Source organism: Homo sapiens, chromosome 9 (assembly GCF_000001405.40).
Source record: "Homo sapiens chromosome 9, GRCh38.p14 Primary Assembly".
Classification (NCBI taxonomy): domain Eukaryota; kingdom Metazoa; phylum Chordata; class Mammalia; order Primates; family Hominidae; genus Homo; species Homo sapiens.
Window position 1 is genome coordinate 130,337,198 of NC_000009.12, and position 16,551 is coordinate 130,353,748.

Consider the following 16,551-nt stretch of genomic DNA (forward strand, 5'->3'; position numbering starts at 1 on the left):
GGGGTCCTCGATCCCTGTGGGATGGGGGTGATGTGACTTTATCAAGCTGAGCCAGACTGGGGAGGACAACGATGGCAGCAGGGGTGGGGGCTCCACAGCTTCCTCCTGAGGACCCTCAACACAGTTCTGGACGTAAGAGCACCAAGCGACTGCAGTCAGAGTCAGGCCGGCCCTGGCACCAGACCAGAGGGCCTCAGGGCTGCCAGCTTCTTCATCCCACACACCGGGCAGGTGTGTGTGGCAGAGGAGGGGGAGTTGCCACCCACAGTCAACAGGTGTCAAGCGGTGGGCAGGTTCCTGGCCCTGGGCTGAGCCTGTGATAGACTCCGTTTACCAGCCCTGGCCCAGACACAGGCCGTCTTAGCATGCCCATTTTACAGATGAGGAAATGGAGGCTCCAAGAGGTGAAGCAACTTGCCTGAGGTCACACAGCTAGGAAGGATTTAGAGTTTAGACTCGAACCCAAGCCAGTGGACTCCTAGTCCAGTGCTCTTCTTCTCTTACACCAGTAGGCGTGAGAACTGGCCCTGGCCTGGTGGTTCAGGGAGGATGGAGGCGGGGGTGGGGGTAGATGGTGGGTGCTGGCTCATTCTCAGAAGGCTTCCTGGGGGAGGTGGCTGGTTCAAGTTGGGTCTTGAAGCCTTTCCATGGGGGTGGGGTCAGTGGGGGTCTCACCAGTGCTCCTCATTCCCGCAGGTATGGCCTCCTCCCGTCTGGCTCCCTGCGTCTGGCCCAGGTGCAGGTGGGTGACAGCGGCCACTACGAGTGCACAGCCAGTAACCCCGCCGGGTCCGCCTCCCATCGCTACGTCCTTGGGGTGCAAGGTAGGACCAGCTGGCAGCCCCAGTCCCTCCCTGTCCCCCATCACCCTGCCTGTCTCTCAGGTCTCTCAGTGCCCCTCCTGCAGCCCACGCCCAGGTCTGTCAGGCTCTGTCACCTCTCCCTCCGTGCGCCTCTGCCACCTCCTTTTGCCACCCCCACTTCCTGTCTCTCTCAGGCCTGTCTCTCCTCCTCCACCCTTTCTCTCCACCTCTCCCCATACCCCTTGAGGGGTCCTGGAGACGCTGTTCAGAGGCCCCCAACAACACAGGGCAGAGCACAGTGGGGACTTGGGTTTGGGAGGACAGGGGTCAGAGGGGAACCCATGAAGGTGGGTCTGAGAGGGTCTCTGCCTGGTACGCGAGGCCCAGCTGGGAGCCCAGGGTGTGGCGATGGGAAGAGGCCTGTGAGGTGCCACAGAGCCCCTCCTGCTGGGAGCATCTTAATGCCCCCAAGAGGCCCTTCTGAGCCCCTGCTCCCACCACTGCCATCAACAAGGCACTTTGTGCACCTATAACAGTGGGTGCCGCTCTCTCTCCATGTATCCCTTCCTCTAGTCCAAGGCCCCTACGTACCCCACTGTGCCTCTGATTCCCAGCCTGGTGGGGGGTCCCAGGAGTGGGTGTTCCCCTGGGGCTCATTCAAAGGGAGCCAGCCAGTGGGAGTCATACACTGAAAAGGGAGGGCGCTCGTCATCCGAAAGAACCCTGAGAGGCATCCAAGACAGGCCCAACTATGGCCCAAGGGCCCAATCTGCCCTCCTGTTTTCAGAGATCATGAGCCAGTGAAGAATGGCTTCCACTTTTTAAAATAATTGGACAAGCACAAAAAACCAACTAAATAATATTTTGTGATATTTCAAATTTATCTGAAATTCAAATTTCAGTGTTGGCCAGACGTAGTGGCTCATGCCTGTAATACCAGTACTTTGGGAGGCCTAGGTGGGAGGATGGCTTGGGCCCAGAAGTTCGAGACCAGCCTGGGCAGCATAGCAAGACCCCATCTCTACAAAAAATAAAAAATTAACCACTTGCAATGGTCCGCACCTGTAGTCCCAGCTACTCAGGAGGCTGAGGTGGGAAGATAGCTTGAGCCCAGGAGGTCGAGGCTGCAGTGACCTGTGATCGTGCCACTGTACTCCAGCCTGGGCAACAGTGCGAGACCCTGTCTCAAACAAAACAAAACAAAAATTCAGTGTTTATAAATACAAGTTTTATTGGAACACGCCCACGCATGTTTATCTATGTGCTGCCTGTGGCTGCTTTACCCTCTGACGGCAGAGGTGAGAAGTGGAGGGAGCCTGCCTGGCCTCACAGCCCAGCATCCTGACCACCTGACTCTTTACGGAAAAAATGTGCTGCCCCGGATCTAAGCTCACACCCCATTTTACAGGTGGACAAGCTGAGGCCCAGAGTGGGAAGGGGCTCCAGGGTTCCCATGGGTTTGCCTGGGGGTGTGAGAGAGACACAGGAACAGGGAGGCAGTGTAATAAGCAGGGCCTCAACGTTGACAGAGCTGGGTTTGAGTCCTGACTGTGCTGCTGACTGGCTGTGTGACCTTAGGCCAGTCACTTGGCCTCTCTGAGCTTTGCTTTCCTCCTCTATAAAGTGAGGCCACAATAAAGCCCATCCCATTGTGGGCATTGAATGCTCAGAACAATGGAAGCTGTTATTGTTTTCAGCGGTTGTGTGTGAGAGAGATTGACAGATGGGCGGGGCATCCACGCTCTCTGTGCTCCTGGGCACCCAGGCCCTGGGCTAAGGGGTTGGTCTCCACCCAAGGGCCAGGATCCCATGGGTGGTTTTATATCCAGGCTCCTTCTCAGAAGCTGCGTAGGGGGTGGGTGCACCTCAGTGTCCCTCGAGGGTCCAGGACACTTGTCCCAGTGTCCCATGCAGTGCCTGGAGCAAGGTGGCCCCTGGGCTCTGAGAAGTCTTTTGTGCCCACCCAGTTTGGCCCCGCAGGGGCCTGGACCCTTGGACACTCAGACCCAGGGTTGGTGCCAGCTCCTATCCCCTGAGGGAGGGGGGCGACTCTGGCCAAGTCATATAACCTTTCTGAGACTCAGTTTCCCCCTCTGCAAAATGCGGAGGCATGGATGGCATCACTTGCCATGTAGGAAGGACCGAGTGAGATGGAGGATGAGAAAGTGACTTGAAACCACAAATGTGAAAGAACGGGAAGCCACAGCCAGGGGGAGGGAAGGACGGGGCAGCGGTGATGCCCAGCTGGAGTGACTGCAGCCACAGCATGCCAGCCACCGGGCTCTATGCTGGCTGCTTTAGTGCCGCACCTCATTTCATCCCGCAGGGCGGGAGGGGTTGTGATGAGGGGGAACTGAGGCTCTGGCTGGAGCAGGGTCCCTTGGCTATAAGGAGCTGAACCAGGATTGGAGCCACCTCCGCACATGCTGCCTCCGAACCTTGCTTAGCCATTATAAGTCGACCCCTCTGCCTTGCCTCAGTTTCCCCTGTGCACTGAGCTGGATGAATCCCAAGTGGCGCTTTTTTTTTTTTTTTCTTAGACGGAGCCTCCCTCTGTCACACAGGCTGGAGTGCAGTGGCACAATCTCAGCTCACTGTAACCTCCGCCTCCCGGGTTCAAGCAATTCTCGTGCTTCAGCCTCCGAGTAGTTGGGATTACAGGTGCGCGCCACCACGCCCAGCTAATTTTTGTATTTTTAGTAGAGATGGGTTTCGCCATGTTGGCTGGGCTGGTCTCAAACGCCTGACATCAGGCAATCTGCCCACCTCGGCCTCCCACAGTTCTGAGATTACAGGCGTGAGCCACCGCTCCCAGCCCCGAGTGGCGCTTCTTAAATGATGTCAGGCACATTGGCGAGGGCAGAGGGATATACAAGCTCAGCCCTAAGGGTTGAGTCTTTCAGGAGTGCGTGTGTTCAGGTGAAAGACCGGAGCTCACTCACTTTGGGGGAGTCCACGTGAGGTGTCCCAACGTCTTTTCCTGCCAGCCTTTGATTGTGCTCCATGACAATTTTGCTGGTTGGTGACATCTGAGATGTGGCTTGGGCCTGGGTTCTGGGACCCTCTCGCCTGGGTCCCCCAACCTTGATACCCCTCCTGTGGCCCCTCAGTCCCCCCTCAGGTGCAGCCAGGCCCTCGGGTTCTGAAGGTGCTGGTGGGAGAAGCCCTGGATCTGAACTGTGTGGCTGAGGGCAACCCAGAGCCCCAGCTGAGCTGGTCCAAGGATGGCGTGGTGTTGCAGGGCCGGGGGCCTCAGGGCTCCGTCCACTTCGCAGCCATCAGAACCTCTGATGCCGGGAGGTACCGCTGTGAAGCCTCCAACAGCGCCGGGGTGGATGCCTGGGAGGTGGAGCTCAGGGTGCTGGGTGAGTCTCCCTGGCCCCAGAACCTGCTTCTCCCCAGCTCTCCCAGCCACAGCCTGGATTTGGGAGGTGCTCGTCTCTGTTCCGGGCTCTGTGCCTGCCCGTTCCCTTCCTTCGTGGGACAGATAGAGCCCTGGCCCTTTCTGGGACCTTCCAGCCCCACAGCTTTGGGGCTATCCTGTGTCCAGGAGCCTTTGTCAGTCCTTGGGTATGGACCAGGTGGTCCTCAGAGCTCCCAGCAGGGATTCCCTGTACTCCTTACCCTTGGGTGGTGACCTGTGGGGCCCCTGAGTACCTGGGTGGACAGAGGCACCTGGAGCAGTAACCAGGGAGTGGCACTGGACCCAGGGCCATCCAGACAACCATAGGCCAGTCACCTACACTCTCTGACCCCGGTTTTCTCACCTGCAAAGTGGGTCCAATAGTATGTGGGGGGTCCATGTGAGAGAGTGTGTGAAGCACCTGGCGCATAGAAAGTTCTGGATCAGTGGTGCTAGCAGTTTCACTATTAGGAATTTAAAACAAGCTTGGGGCTGAGTGCAGTGGCTCATGCCTGTAATCCCAGCAATTTGGGAGGCCGAGGTGGGTGGATCGCTTGAGCCCAGGAGTTCGAGACCAGTCTGGCCAACATAGTGAAACCCCATCTCTTAAAATAAATAAATAAATAAATAAATAAATAAATAAATAAATAAATAAATAAAAGCTTGGAAAGCCACTGCTGAGAGGGACCACTCATGGCCCCTTGTGTCTGAGGGTACAGCTCAGCCTCCCCAGCATGTGGGGCTCGGCCCTGGTGGCTGCACCATGGGGCCTCCCTGCAGGGTGAGCCAGTACCCCTGGCCCTGACTGGACTTGCCAGGAGGCTAGGGGCTGGGATTCTAGAAGGGGACACCCTCCCCATTGGCCCTGGGTTCCTTGGAGGCAGGGGTTGAGGGGTGCCAGGCTTTGGGCCCGAGGTAGGAGTGTGGCCATGTTGCCTCCCTACAGAGCCACCACACTGGGGGGCTGATGAGACCAGCGGCCTGCTGGAGCGAGTGGCCGGAGAGAATGCCAGCCTGCCGTGCCCTGCCAGAGGTGAAGCTGCGTCTGGGGAGGGACTGGGGAGGTGGGGTGGGCTGGCTTGGGAGGCGTCCCCACTCATGTTCCAGTGCCCTGGGTTGCACGTGGCAGGCCCACGGGGCACATGCTCCTTGTCAGCAGCATGCCAGGTGGTTCATCCCATTGTCAACCCTGCAGGATGGTGTTATTGCCCCTTTTGATTAGGGGCAATCCAGGCCCAAGGGGGTTAAGTGACTTGCCTGAAGTCACACAGCCAGGATGTGACTCAGAATGTGGACAAGTGTGACCCCTGCCCTGCCCCCCTGTGCCCATCAGCATCTGGGGGTGTGATCGCCAGGGCTGAGGCAGCCCGGGGTCCTTGTGGGTTGGGGCTTCGTGGTCAGCCCGCCTCTCCCCATGCCCCTGACTTTCCCACAGAGGATGGATTCAGTGGTTCTGGCCAAAGCAGCTTTTCTGGGCTTGTCTTTGGGGCAGGAGCACGGTGTGGGGCCGATAGCCACCATGGGTCAGCTGCCCAGCGCCGAACCCTGCCCTGGCCCTTCCTGGTTTTGTAACTCAGGACAGTTTCTATCTCCTTTCGAGCATCAGTTTCCCTGTCTGTACAGCGGGGTTGTACCAGCCCCTCTGCATGGAGCTGCTGTGGGAACTCAGTGGGACCCCACGCGTGCACAGGGCTGGCATCTTAGGAGGGCTCAGGAAATGTGGTGGATGCCTGGCTTCTGCCTTTTTGTGAACCCCACGGCCCCACCCAGAAGATCCCTCCTCAGCCCCCGCCACTGCCTCAGTTGCTTCTTTCGGCGTTGGGCTCCTGCATGGCTGGGAGCACCGCCTCCCCTCTGTGGGGCTGAGGTTCTCTGGAGGGTGCTGTCTGGTGTCTGGTAGCAAGTGGCAGGTCACCAAAGCCTGACAGGAGCCTGGGGGGCGTCTCTAGTCTTGGTTGTTGCTCTGTGAGCCACAGGACGCCCTGGAAGGCCCCAGAAAAGGACTCAGGGAGAGGCAGGTAGAAGCAGGGATGGCACCCACCTAGGCAAGGGGAGGACCTGGGTGGGAGCTCTGGGAGCCCCTCTGGATCCCCAGGTGCAGAGCTGCCGACCTGCCCACCTGGCCCCCCGACCCTCCCCGACCCAGGTCCCCGGCCCTTGACTATGGCGCCACCTTGCGTTGGATTCTGCTAACAGCAAGCAGCCGTTCTGCGCTTTTGGGAGGTGGGAGACAGTGGAAGGTGGGACCCACCCAGCCCCTGACTGCCACACACAGCCCTGGTCAGTCAGGGACCAGTCCTGAGCCTGTCAGCCTCACCCAAATCCCCTCTGATAGCACTGCCTCTCCCCACCAGGCCTGCCGCCTGGGCTGCCCCGGCCTCCTTCCTGGTCAGGAGGGCCTTGTTTCACAGCCCTGTGGCCTTGGGCTCGGAGCGCTCTGAGGGCTACAGGGTTGGGACTGAGCCCAGCACCCTCATGGGGACTCCCTGGGCCCTGCAGTGACACCATCTGCCTCTTCCTCGTGGGGTGGGGTGGGGCGTGAAGGCCCAGAGCCTGGACACCCACTTGGTGGTGTGTGTGGTGTGTGGGACTCTGCACAGTGGGGAGGGGGCGGCGTGAGGGACCCTGGGCAGCAGCTGGTGCCCGGGGATCTCCTTGTCCTCCTTGTCACAGAGCTTCAGGGCCGTCCTGCACTAGAGCACTTTAGGCTGAGATTGTGGTAAACAAGGTTCCACAGCAGAAACCATCACCCCTCCCGACCTGCAGCTCGGAAGGCCTGGCCCCCGGCGTGGCGGGAAGTACAGGGGCTCTCAGGGGAAAGCTGAGGAAGATGAGAGGGGGGTGTGCATGTGTGTGAGTGTGCGAATGTGTAGTGTGTGTATGTGGTGTATGTGTCATGTGTGGGATGTGTGTGCATGTATGTGTTCTGTGTGTATGTGATGTGTGTATGTAGTATGTGGTGTGTGTGTGTGGTGTTTGGCATGTATGTTGTATAGTGTTTGGTGTGTGCATGTATGTGTTCTGTGTGTGTGTGGTCTATATATATGGTGTTTGGTGTATGTTGTGTGTGTGGTGTGCATGGTGTTTGTGTGTGGTGTATGTATGTGGTGTGTGTGGTGTGTAGTGTGTGGTGTGTATGTGGTATGTGGTGTTTGGTATGTGGGGTGTGTATGTAGTGTTTGTATGTTGTGTGTATGTGTATGGTGTTGTGTGTAGTGTGTGATGTGTGTATGGTGTTTGGTGTATATGTTTGTGTGTGGTGTGTGTATGTTGTTTGATGTGTATGTAGTGTGTGTGTATGATGTGTAGTGTGTGGTGCGTATGTGTGAATGTGTGGTGTGTGTGTGTGTATGGTGTTTTGTGTGCATGGTGTTTGTGTGTATGGTGTGTAGCATGTGATGTGTATGTGGTATGTGGTGTTTGGTGTGTGTGGTGTGTGTAGTGTTTGGTATATATGTTGTGTGTGTGGTGTGTGTATGGTGTTTGGTGTATGTGGTGTGTGTGTGTGTGTGTGGTGTTTGGCATGTATGTTGTGTGTGTGGTTTGGTGTGTGTAGTGTGTAGTGTTTGGTGTATATGTTGTATGTGTTGTGTATGTGGTGTGTATAGTTTTGGTGTGTGTGTGGTGTGTGCATGGTGTTTGGTGTGTATGTTGTGTGTGTGGTGTGTGTAGTGTGTAGTGCATGGTGTGTATGTGGTGTGTGGTATGTATTGTGTGTGGTGTGTGGTGTGTGCACAGTGTTTGGTGTGTATATTGTGTGTGGTGTGTGTATGGTGGTGTGTGTAGTGTGGTTTGTGGTATGTATTGTGTGTGGTGTGTGGTGTGTAGTGTGTATGTTGTGTGTGGTATGTGTATGGTGTGTGGTGTGTGTAGTGTATGGTGTGTACGTGGTGTGTGGTGTGTGTGTTGTTTGATATGTATGCTGTGTGTGTGTATGTTTGTGGTGTGTGGTGTGTATGTGGTATGTGTGGTATGTGTAGTGTGTGGTGTGTGTGTGCTGTGTGTGTATGTTGGTGTGTGGTGTGTGTAGTATGTGGTGTGTATGTGGTGTGTGGTGTGTATAGGGTGTGGTGTGTGTGTTGTTTGGTATGTATGTCATGTGTGGTATGTGTATGGTGTTTGGTGTGTATAGTATGTGGTGTGTGTAGTGCTTGGTGTGTATGTTTGTGTGTGGTATGTGTGTATGGTGTTTCGTGTGTGTAGTGTGGTGTGTGGTGTGTGTATCGTGTTGTGTGTGTGTGGTGTGTATCCCCACAGTGGGGAGTGGGGGTAGCAGCCCCTGGCGGTGGGACATTCTGGCCTGCATTCTGGGCAGAGGATTCCAGAGGAAAACGGGCACAGGGGGATTCAGTAAGTTGCCCAAGGACACCCAGAGCGTGGGTGGACATGGAGCAGGGCCCTGGGCCCTCCCTGTCCCTCATGCCAGCAGGGAGGGTCTCTGGCACTTTACGGTGGGCGGTCAGGGTAGGGCGGAGGGGGCAGGGCAGCCTCCTGCAGAGATGATGCCAGTGTGCCTTCCACATGCCATGTCTTCCCCGCCACCATGCTTACTGGTCCTTCCAAGGATGAAAGAGTGAGCGGCCCACAGCATAAGTGTCTACCCCTGGGCCCCCGCTGCCAGGGGCGGCCCTTTCTGATGATAATCAGTGTTAGCTACAACAGTCCTGATGACCAGCGGTAGCAGCAGAAGGCGGGTGGGAGTGACGTGCCGATCTGCAAGTGTGGGGACCCCACAGGCTCCCCTGAGTCAGCGCTGGCGGAGGTCAGGGGGCAGGTGAGAGCTAGGGCCAGGATGGCAGCAGCAGAGTGTGTGCCTGGGGCTCACGCTGCGACCTCTGGGCAGTGTGCCTCAAAGGGGTCACTTGGAGGACTGGGCTGTTAGCTTCAGCTCACATAGGACCCCCTCTGGGCAGGTTCTGTCCTTGGGGCCCGTGAATGAAAGCTCCACTCCAGCCCAGTGGGCAGCTGTTTCTGGCACACCTACTGTGTACCAGGCTGTGTGCACAGACCAACATGGGGCGTGTCCTAGAGATCAAGGGGCTGGGGGATGTGGCACTCACGGTGGGGCTGGAGGCAGGGGGGTGTGGCACTCACGGTGGGGCTGGGGGTTGTGGCTGGCAAAGTGACTGACCCAGGCTTGTGGAGGGAGGAGCAGGAGCAGGCTGAGCAGAATTGGGGCCTCCCACAGGCCCTAACCCCAGGGCACAACGCAGGGTGCTGGAGCACGGCAGGCTTGGCTCGTTCATTGATTTAGTGCCTACTGTGTGCCGGGCACTGTGCTAGAGGCTGGCGGTGGCAGCAGGGAAAAAAACAAAGAGCCTGGCCCTCGTCGGGTGGGGGACACGGAAAAGAGACAACAGAGACCTGGAGCATAGACGCGTCCTCTGATCACTGGAAAGTGGAGGACGACGGCTGAAAAGCAGGGAGGGCAGGGGCTGGGGGTGCCTGTTGGGGTGCAATTCTAAATGAGGGGACTGGGGACTTGCTGTGAAGAGAACCAGAAAACAGGCCTGCAGTCCCCGCCTTGGTCCCTCAGGGACCCTAGGAGGCTGTATGGATGGGCAGTGTGGGTAGGTGGCGGGTGTGGGGGCTCCCACGGCTCCGAGGGAAATGCTCCTTCCAGCCTCGGGGGGACGGAGGTGCCTGGAGTCATCGCTGGACCGTCAGCCCCTTTTGCACAGGAGAGACATGTGGGAGACAGTGCAGGTGTGGAGGGGAAGGTGTCAGGGTGTTTGTACTGATGACTCCATGCACCCTGCCAGGAACGCCCAAGCCGCAGGTCACATGGAGGAAGGGCCCGTCCTCGGAGCCCCTGCATGGCCAGCCAGGTGTGGCAGTGCTGGAGGAGGGGTCTCTGTTCCTGGCCTCCGTCTCACCTGCGGATAGTGGAGACTACGAGTGCCAGGCCACCAACGAGGTGGGCTCCACGTCCAGGAGAGCCAAGCTGGTGGTCTATGGTGAGCAGGGACCCAGAGCTGGGGGCAAGAGAGGAAAGCGGCAGGGACCCAGAGACGGGCCTGTCTTCCTCCCAGGACCGCATCCGGCCAGAGGCCCACAGTGAAGCCGGGGGTCTGACAGTACCACGGCGTGCCCAGGTGTGGCAGTGCCAGTTCCCCGGGGCCTGAAAGCTTCCTACACAGGAGAATCAGGTCCTGCCACCAGGTGCCAGTGACAGGGAGGGCTTGAGGGGGCTGGGAGAGTGGCAGGTTGCACTGTACACCCCACTTCCCTAGAGAGACCCCCACGGAGACAGTATGGGGGAAGCACCTGGAATTCCATCAGTGTCTTTGAGATTGGTCTAGAGGTGAAGGCATTTTAAAATGACCCCTTGGCTGGGCATGGTGGCTTGCACCTGTAATCCTAGCACTTTGGGAGGCTGAGGCAGGAGAATTGCTTGAGCCCAGGAGATCGAGACCAGTTTGGGAGAGAGAGACCCTGTCTCTACATAAAATAAACTTAAAAAATTATTTTTAAAAATGAGCACGGATGGCAGTGCAGAGCCCCAGAGCCCACCTCCGGGTTAAAACTGTTACCCCTGGTCTCTTCTCACATTCTTGTCCTCAGCAGGGAGAGCGCCCACCCCCACATCCAGGGTGCTATGTGCAGAGGAAAGGAACCCCTCCTTAACACGGGCAGTGTGGGTGGGCTGGGGAGTGGTCTCTGTCGGCAGGATGAACTGGCCCCGCTTGGGCAGTTCTACCAGCTCCTAACGCCACCTGCTGCTTCCCCAGGACCAGCTGCTCTGGCTAGCCCTGTAATGACTTGCTCAAGACATTTGTTACAAAAGCGTGGCCAGGCCTCACCTTCAGAGATTCTCACTCAGGGGGACCCTCCCTGGTCACTGTGACACCAGGTTGGGTGTAGAACCAGATGGATCTAAGGGGACTCCAGCACCTTGCAAAGCTGAGAGTCAGAAAGGGTGACACCTGGGCCTGGGCACGACTGGGGGTGTGTGGGTCCCAGGGCAAGGCTGCTGCGGCCATCTGCAGGTCCACAGGACCCTTTGTGGCTGGGCGGACGGGGACAGGCAGACCTTCTCCAACCCCAGTGACGAAGGGGAGGGAATGGCCCAGATGAGGTCCCTTCGGCTGTGGCTCTAAGGGGGCAGGGAAGCAGCTCCTCGGCTCTCCTTGCCCCCAAGTGCCCCCCAGCATCCGGGAGGACGGGCGCAAGGCCAACGTGTCGGGTATGGCCGGGCAGTCCCTGACGCTGGAGTGTGACGCGAACGGCTTTCCAGTCCCTGAGATCGTGTGGCTGAAGGACGCGCAGCTGGTGGGTGTCCCCCTAGGGTGGGCGGGGTATGGGTGGGATTTAGGCTGGGGACAGGTCTTCTGGATGGGCATTTCTGCGTGTGCCAAGGTGGGGCAGGGAGATGTGACAGGTGTCTTTGGTGGTGCTCTGGGGTTCACGGCAGTGGAGGATAGTGGTCATGTAGTGAAGCCTGGCAGGGGCTGCGTGGCAGAGAGCATGGCACCGTTCTGGCCACTGGCCACCTCTCGGGCCTCAGTTTCCTCATTACTGATGCTGGGGGTGGTGGCTGGATCCCCTCTTACTGGCTCCCTCTGGCCTCTCCTACCCAGATTCCTAAGGTGGGCGGCCACCGCCTCCTGGACGAGGGCCAGTCCCTCCACTTCCCCAGGATCCAGGAGGGTGATTCTGGGCTCTACTCCTGCCGGGCAGAGAACCAGGCTGGCACCGCCCAGAGGGACTTCCATCTCCTTGTGCTCAGTGAGTGAGACCTGAGCCCTGTAACTCCCAAGTGTGTCTGGCCCTGTAGCCCCAACTCTTGCAGGCACACCGGGGGAGAGGGTAGACTTTGCCTGCGGAGAGCAGGGGGCACAGAGGGACCCATGACAGACCCAACCCCCATCCTCACAGAGCTATCAGGCTTGGGGGACAGACATCAGACAGGTGAATAGCAAAATCATTACTGTCACAAGTGCTACCAAAGAACAGTCTGGGTGCTGAGGGCTCCAGAGCAAGCCCTTCTGGCCAGGGTTTTGGGGGGCTTCCCAGGAAGGTCAGGTAGGAGGGGGGCCCAGGCTGGGGGGTCTGCACAGACAAAGGCCCCGTGGTAGGCGGGGCTTGCAGGGTTTGAACAGTTTCCCACCCCTCACGCCTTCTCACCCCCAGCCCCTCCTTCCGTGCTTGGAGCCGGGGCCGCTCAGGAGGTGCTAGGATTGGCCGGTGCAGACGTGGAGCTGCAGTGTTGGACCTCAGGGGTCCCCACGCCCCAGGTGGAGTGGACCAAGGACAGGCAGTGAGTGCCCCCCTCCCCGAGGATGGCGTGTGGTGGTGCCCAGACTCAGCCTGCTGGATGTGGGGGTTGGGGAAGGTTGAACTCTTCTTGGGGAGCTGACAGGCATGGCATGTGCCACCCAGGGCCCAGACTGAGGGCTGTAGGGGCGCCTCCCACCCAGCAGGAGATTAGCCAGGGAGACCCCACTCTTACCTCAGCAAAGTCTTCTCATCTCTTAGCCTTTCCTTTTTTTTTTTTTTTTTTTTTTTTTTGGTGACAGGGTCTTGCTCAGTTGCTCAGGTTAGAGTGCAGTGGAACGATCTCAGCTCACTGCAGCCTCAAACTCCTGGGCTTCTTGGGCTCAAGAGATCATCCCACTTCAGCCTCCTAAATAGCTGGGACCACAGGTGTGCGCTACCAACAACGGCTAATTTTTTAAAAAATGTTTGTACAGATGGGGTCCTGCTTTGTTGCCCAGGCTGGTCTTGAACACCTGGCTTCAAGCAATCCTCCTGCCTTGGCCTCCCAAAGTGCTGAGATTACAGGCATGAGCCACCGTGCCCAGCCTCTTTTTTTAAACTCACTTTTTCTCTAAGTAAAATTCACATAATGGGCTGGGTGTGGTGGCTCACGCCTGTAATCCCAGCATTTTGGGAGGCCAAGGCGGCCAGATCACCTGAGGTCAGGAGCTATCAGCCTGCCCAACACAGCGAGACCCTGTCTCTGCTAAAAATACAAAAAAATACAAAAAAAAAAAAAAAAGAAATAGCCAGGCATGGTGGCAGGCGCCTGTAATCCCAGCTGCTTGGGAGGCTGAGGCAAGAGAATCACTTGAACCTAGGAGGTGGAGGTTGCAGTGAGCTGAGATCAAGCCACTGCACTCCAGCCTGGGTGACAGAGCAAGACTCCGTCCAAAAAAAAGTCCACGTAACATACAATTAGCCATTTTAAAGTGTACAGTGGGCCAGGTGCAGTGGCTCACGCCTGTAATCCCAGCACTTTGGGAGGCTGAGGTGGGCAGATCACGAGGTCAGGAGATCGAGACCATCCTGGCTAACACGGTGAAACCTCGTCTCTACTAAAAATACAAAAATATATATATATATATACGGGCATGGTGGCGGTAGTCTGTAGTCTCCTGTAGTCTCCGCTACTTGGGAGGCCGAGGCAGGAGAATCACTTGAGCCCGGGAGGTGGAGGTTGCAGTGAGCCATCGTACTACTGCACTCCAGCCTGGGCAATAGAGCAAGACTCAGTCTCAAGGAAAAAAAAAGGTGTGCAGTGTAGTGGCATTTAGTACATTTGCAGCATGGGGCAACTTTCACTTCTATTTAGTTCCTGACATTCCATCACCCCAAAAGGACACCCTGGACCCATCAGCAGCCAGTCGCTGTCCCCTTCTCCCCAGCCCCTGGCAACCACAAGCCTGCTTTCCTTCTCTATGGACGTGCCTGTTCTGGGTACTTCACATCACTGGCATCATAGAGTGTGTGGCCTTTTGTGTCTGGCTTCTTCCACTCGGCATATTTTCCAGGTTCATCCATACTGTGGCAAGTGTCAGAATTGCCTTCATTTTTGTGGCTGAATAATGTTCCGTGGCATGGACGGACCACACGTTGTTGATCCATTCCTCGCTTACTGGGCCTTTGCATTGCTCCCACCTCTTGGCGCTAATGAATGGCCCAGCCTCGCTTTTTACAAGCCACACACTCCCTGTGTGCAGCGTGTCCCATCCAGCCCCTCGGCCTTACTGGCGCTTTTCCCTTGCCCGTCTCTCCAGGCCTGTCCTTCCGGGAGGCCCTCACCTGCAGGTCCAGGAGGATGGCCAGGTTCTCAGGATCACCGGCAGTCACGTGGGGGATGAGGGACGATACCAGTGCGTGGCCTTCAGCCCAGCTGGTCAGCAGGCCAGGGACTTCCAGCTCCGAGTTCATGGTGAGCCCCCACGCCTTCTGGGACCCCGCCACAGGCTACTCAGGAAGCTTCCCACCCAGCTGCCCGCTGCCTTAGAGGGAGAGTGAGGGCTGAAATGGGGGACCTGGTGAGTGATCCCTGAGTCCAAGAAAGCTGGGGGCTGGGGTCGGGGTTGGGGTCAGGGTCAGGGGATAGAGGTTATCTGGCCCAGCATTTTCCAAATCCGTGGTTTCCATCCCAGCTCTAAAAATTTACTACTTATGTTTTTTTTTTGAGATGAATTCTCTCTCTGTTGCCTAGGCTGGAGCGCAGTGGCACCATCTTGGCTCACTGCAACCTCCCCCTCCCAGATTCAAGTGATTCTCTTGCCTCAGCCTCCCGAGTAGCTGGGATTACAGGTGCCCACCACCACACCCAGTTCATTTTTGTATTTTTAGTAGAGGTGGGGTTTCACCATGTTGGCCAGGCTGGCCTTGAACTCCTGACCTCAAGTGATCCTCCTGCCTTGGCCTCCCAAAGTGCTGGGATTACAGGCGTGAGTCACTGTACCTGGCCCAAATTTACTACTTCTGATACCACTTGGAATTATGATTTACTTTTCTTTAAATGAGTCACACTTCCTTACACTGAAACACATTTATTTAAATATCCCTTATTCTTATAAAGGATATTTAATATCGAAACTGTAAGCAGAAAACCAGTTTCGCTTGGCTAAGGAAGCTGAAAAAACAAACACACCCCATAGAGCAATGTTGTAAATTCTCGAGGCGTGGACTCCGCAGAGGGCACCCAGCCTGCATCTGCACTCTCTGTGCTAAAAAGCGGAGAGTAGAAAGTGCTAGAAAGGTTAGGGACATGCATAGTAGCACCAAACGGAGCCTTTCCTTGCTGTAACCCGGATAGAAGGAGATTTGGGAGGGGCGTAACCATTCCATTCTGAGATGCAGTTATTTCATGCTGTGCCCATGTGCCCCTAGCATTGTCCTGGGTAGCATCGGTGGTGAGTGACCAGCCCTGTGTGAAGTCCTCATCTAGTCCAGCCTCTCATTTCACAGATGGGGAGACTGAGGCCCAGAGAGGGGAAGTGGCTCACCCCTGGTCTTCCAGTATGTTAGAGCAGAGCAGGGCCCAGAATCCAAGCCTGTGGCCCCGCCCCCACCTCCTGCACCTTCCACACCAGCATGTCCCCATGCTGGCCTCTCCCATCTGTCCCCAGACCCCTCCCCTCCTTGTCCACCATGCCTTCCCTGCCCCCGCAATGGAAGCCTGTGGTGTGTCTTGTGGCCCAAAGGCATGAGTCTGCTGCCCTGGGGAAGATGCCAGAGGCCTCAGCGGCTGCCTGTGACCAGCCCCACCTCTTTCCTTCTCAGCGCCCCCCACTATCTGGGGCTCCAACGAGACAGGCGAGGTGGCCGTCATGGAGGACCACCTAGTGCAGCTCCTGTGTGAGGCTCGAGGAGTGCCCACCCCAAACATCACCTGGTTCAAGGACGGGGCCCTGCTCCCCACCAGCACCAAGGTGGTCTACACTAGGGGCGGTCGGCAGTTGCAGCTGGGGAGGGCCCAGAGCTCCGATGCCGGCGTCTACACCTGCAAGGCCAGCAATGCTGTGGGGGCCGCAGAGAAGGCCACCAGGCTGGATGTTTATGGTGAGCAGCCAGGGGCCACGGCAGCCGGGGTGGGCAGTGGGAGGGACTCAGCCATGGTGGCCCCTGCCTGTCTCCAAAGGAAGGCTAGGTGGCCACTTGGAGTGGTCAGAGGCAAAAGGATAATGGGACCAAGACATTATCTAGGGAGAAGGGTCCTCCCAGCTTATGTGACTTCCCTCATACCTGTAAGGAAACTGAGGCCAGGAGTGGAAGGGCCTGTCTAGGAGGCCATGGCGGAGCTAAGTGTAGAATCCAGGTCTCCCCTCATGGTGTGGGGCTTTTCACTAAACCATGCCCAGAACCCTGTGACCACCACAATAATTAACTGCCCTCAGCTCATCACTTCTGTAAGCTAGACCAGAGGGGCACTTTGCAGCATCAGCTCATTTGATCAGCTGGCAAAGGGACTTGAGCTCTCATGTCCCCAGTTACAGATGGTCGCAGTGAAGCTCTGGAGCAGAGAGGTTTCCCCAGGTTCACACCCCTAGGAGGTGGTGGAACCCGGTCCTTACGCGGGCAGATCTGACTCCAGACCTCATGCTG

General features: G+C 57.2%; 1 protein-coding gene across 8 annotated transcripts in view; it reads left to right on the forward strand.

The window, feature by feature from the left end:
• HMCN2 (hemicentin 2) overlaps positions 1-16,551 on the forward strand; it is a 168,364-nt gene that overhangs the window by 71,438 nt on the left and 80,375 nt on the right. For all 8 annotated transcript variants that reach the window (NM_001291815.2, XM_011518466.3, XM_011518465.3 and 5 more), the window contains 9 exons: positions 697-824; positions 3,914-4,168; positions 5,153-5,239; positions 9,969-10,163; positions 11,348-11,478; positions 11,787-11,934; positions 12,340-12,466; positions 14,226-14,380; positions 15,730-16,008. In NM_001291815.2, coding sequence (NP_001278744.1) covers positions 697-824; positions 3,914-4,168; positions 5,153-5,239; positions 9,969-10,163; positions 11,348-11,478; positions 11,787-11,934; positions 12,340-12,466; positions 14,226-14,380; positions 15,730-16,008 — 1,505 coding nt within the window. The remainder of the gene's footprint in view (positions 1-696; positions 825-3,913; positions 4,169-5,152; positions 5,240-9,968; positions 10,164-11,347; positions 11,479-11,786; positions 11,935-12,339; positions 12,467-14,225; positions 14,381-15,729; positions 16,009-16,551) is intronic.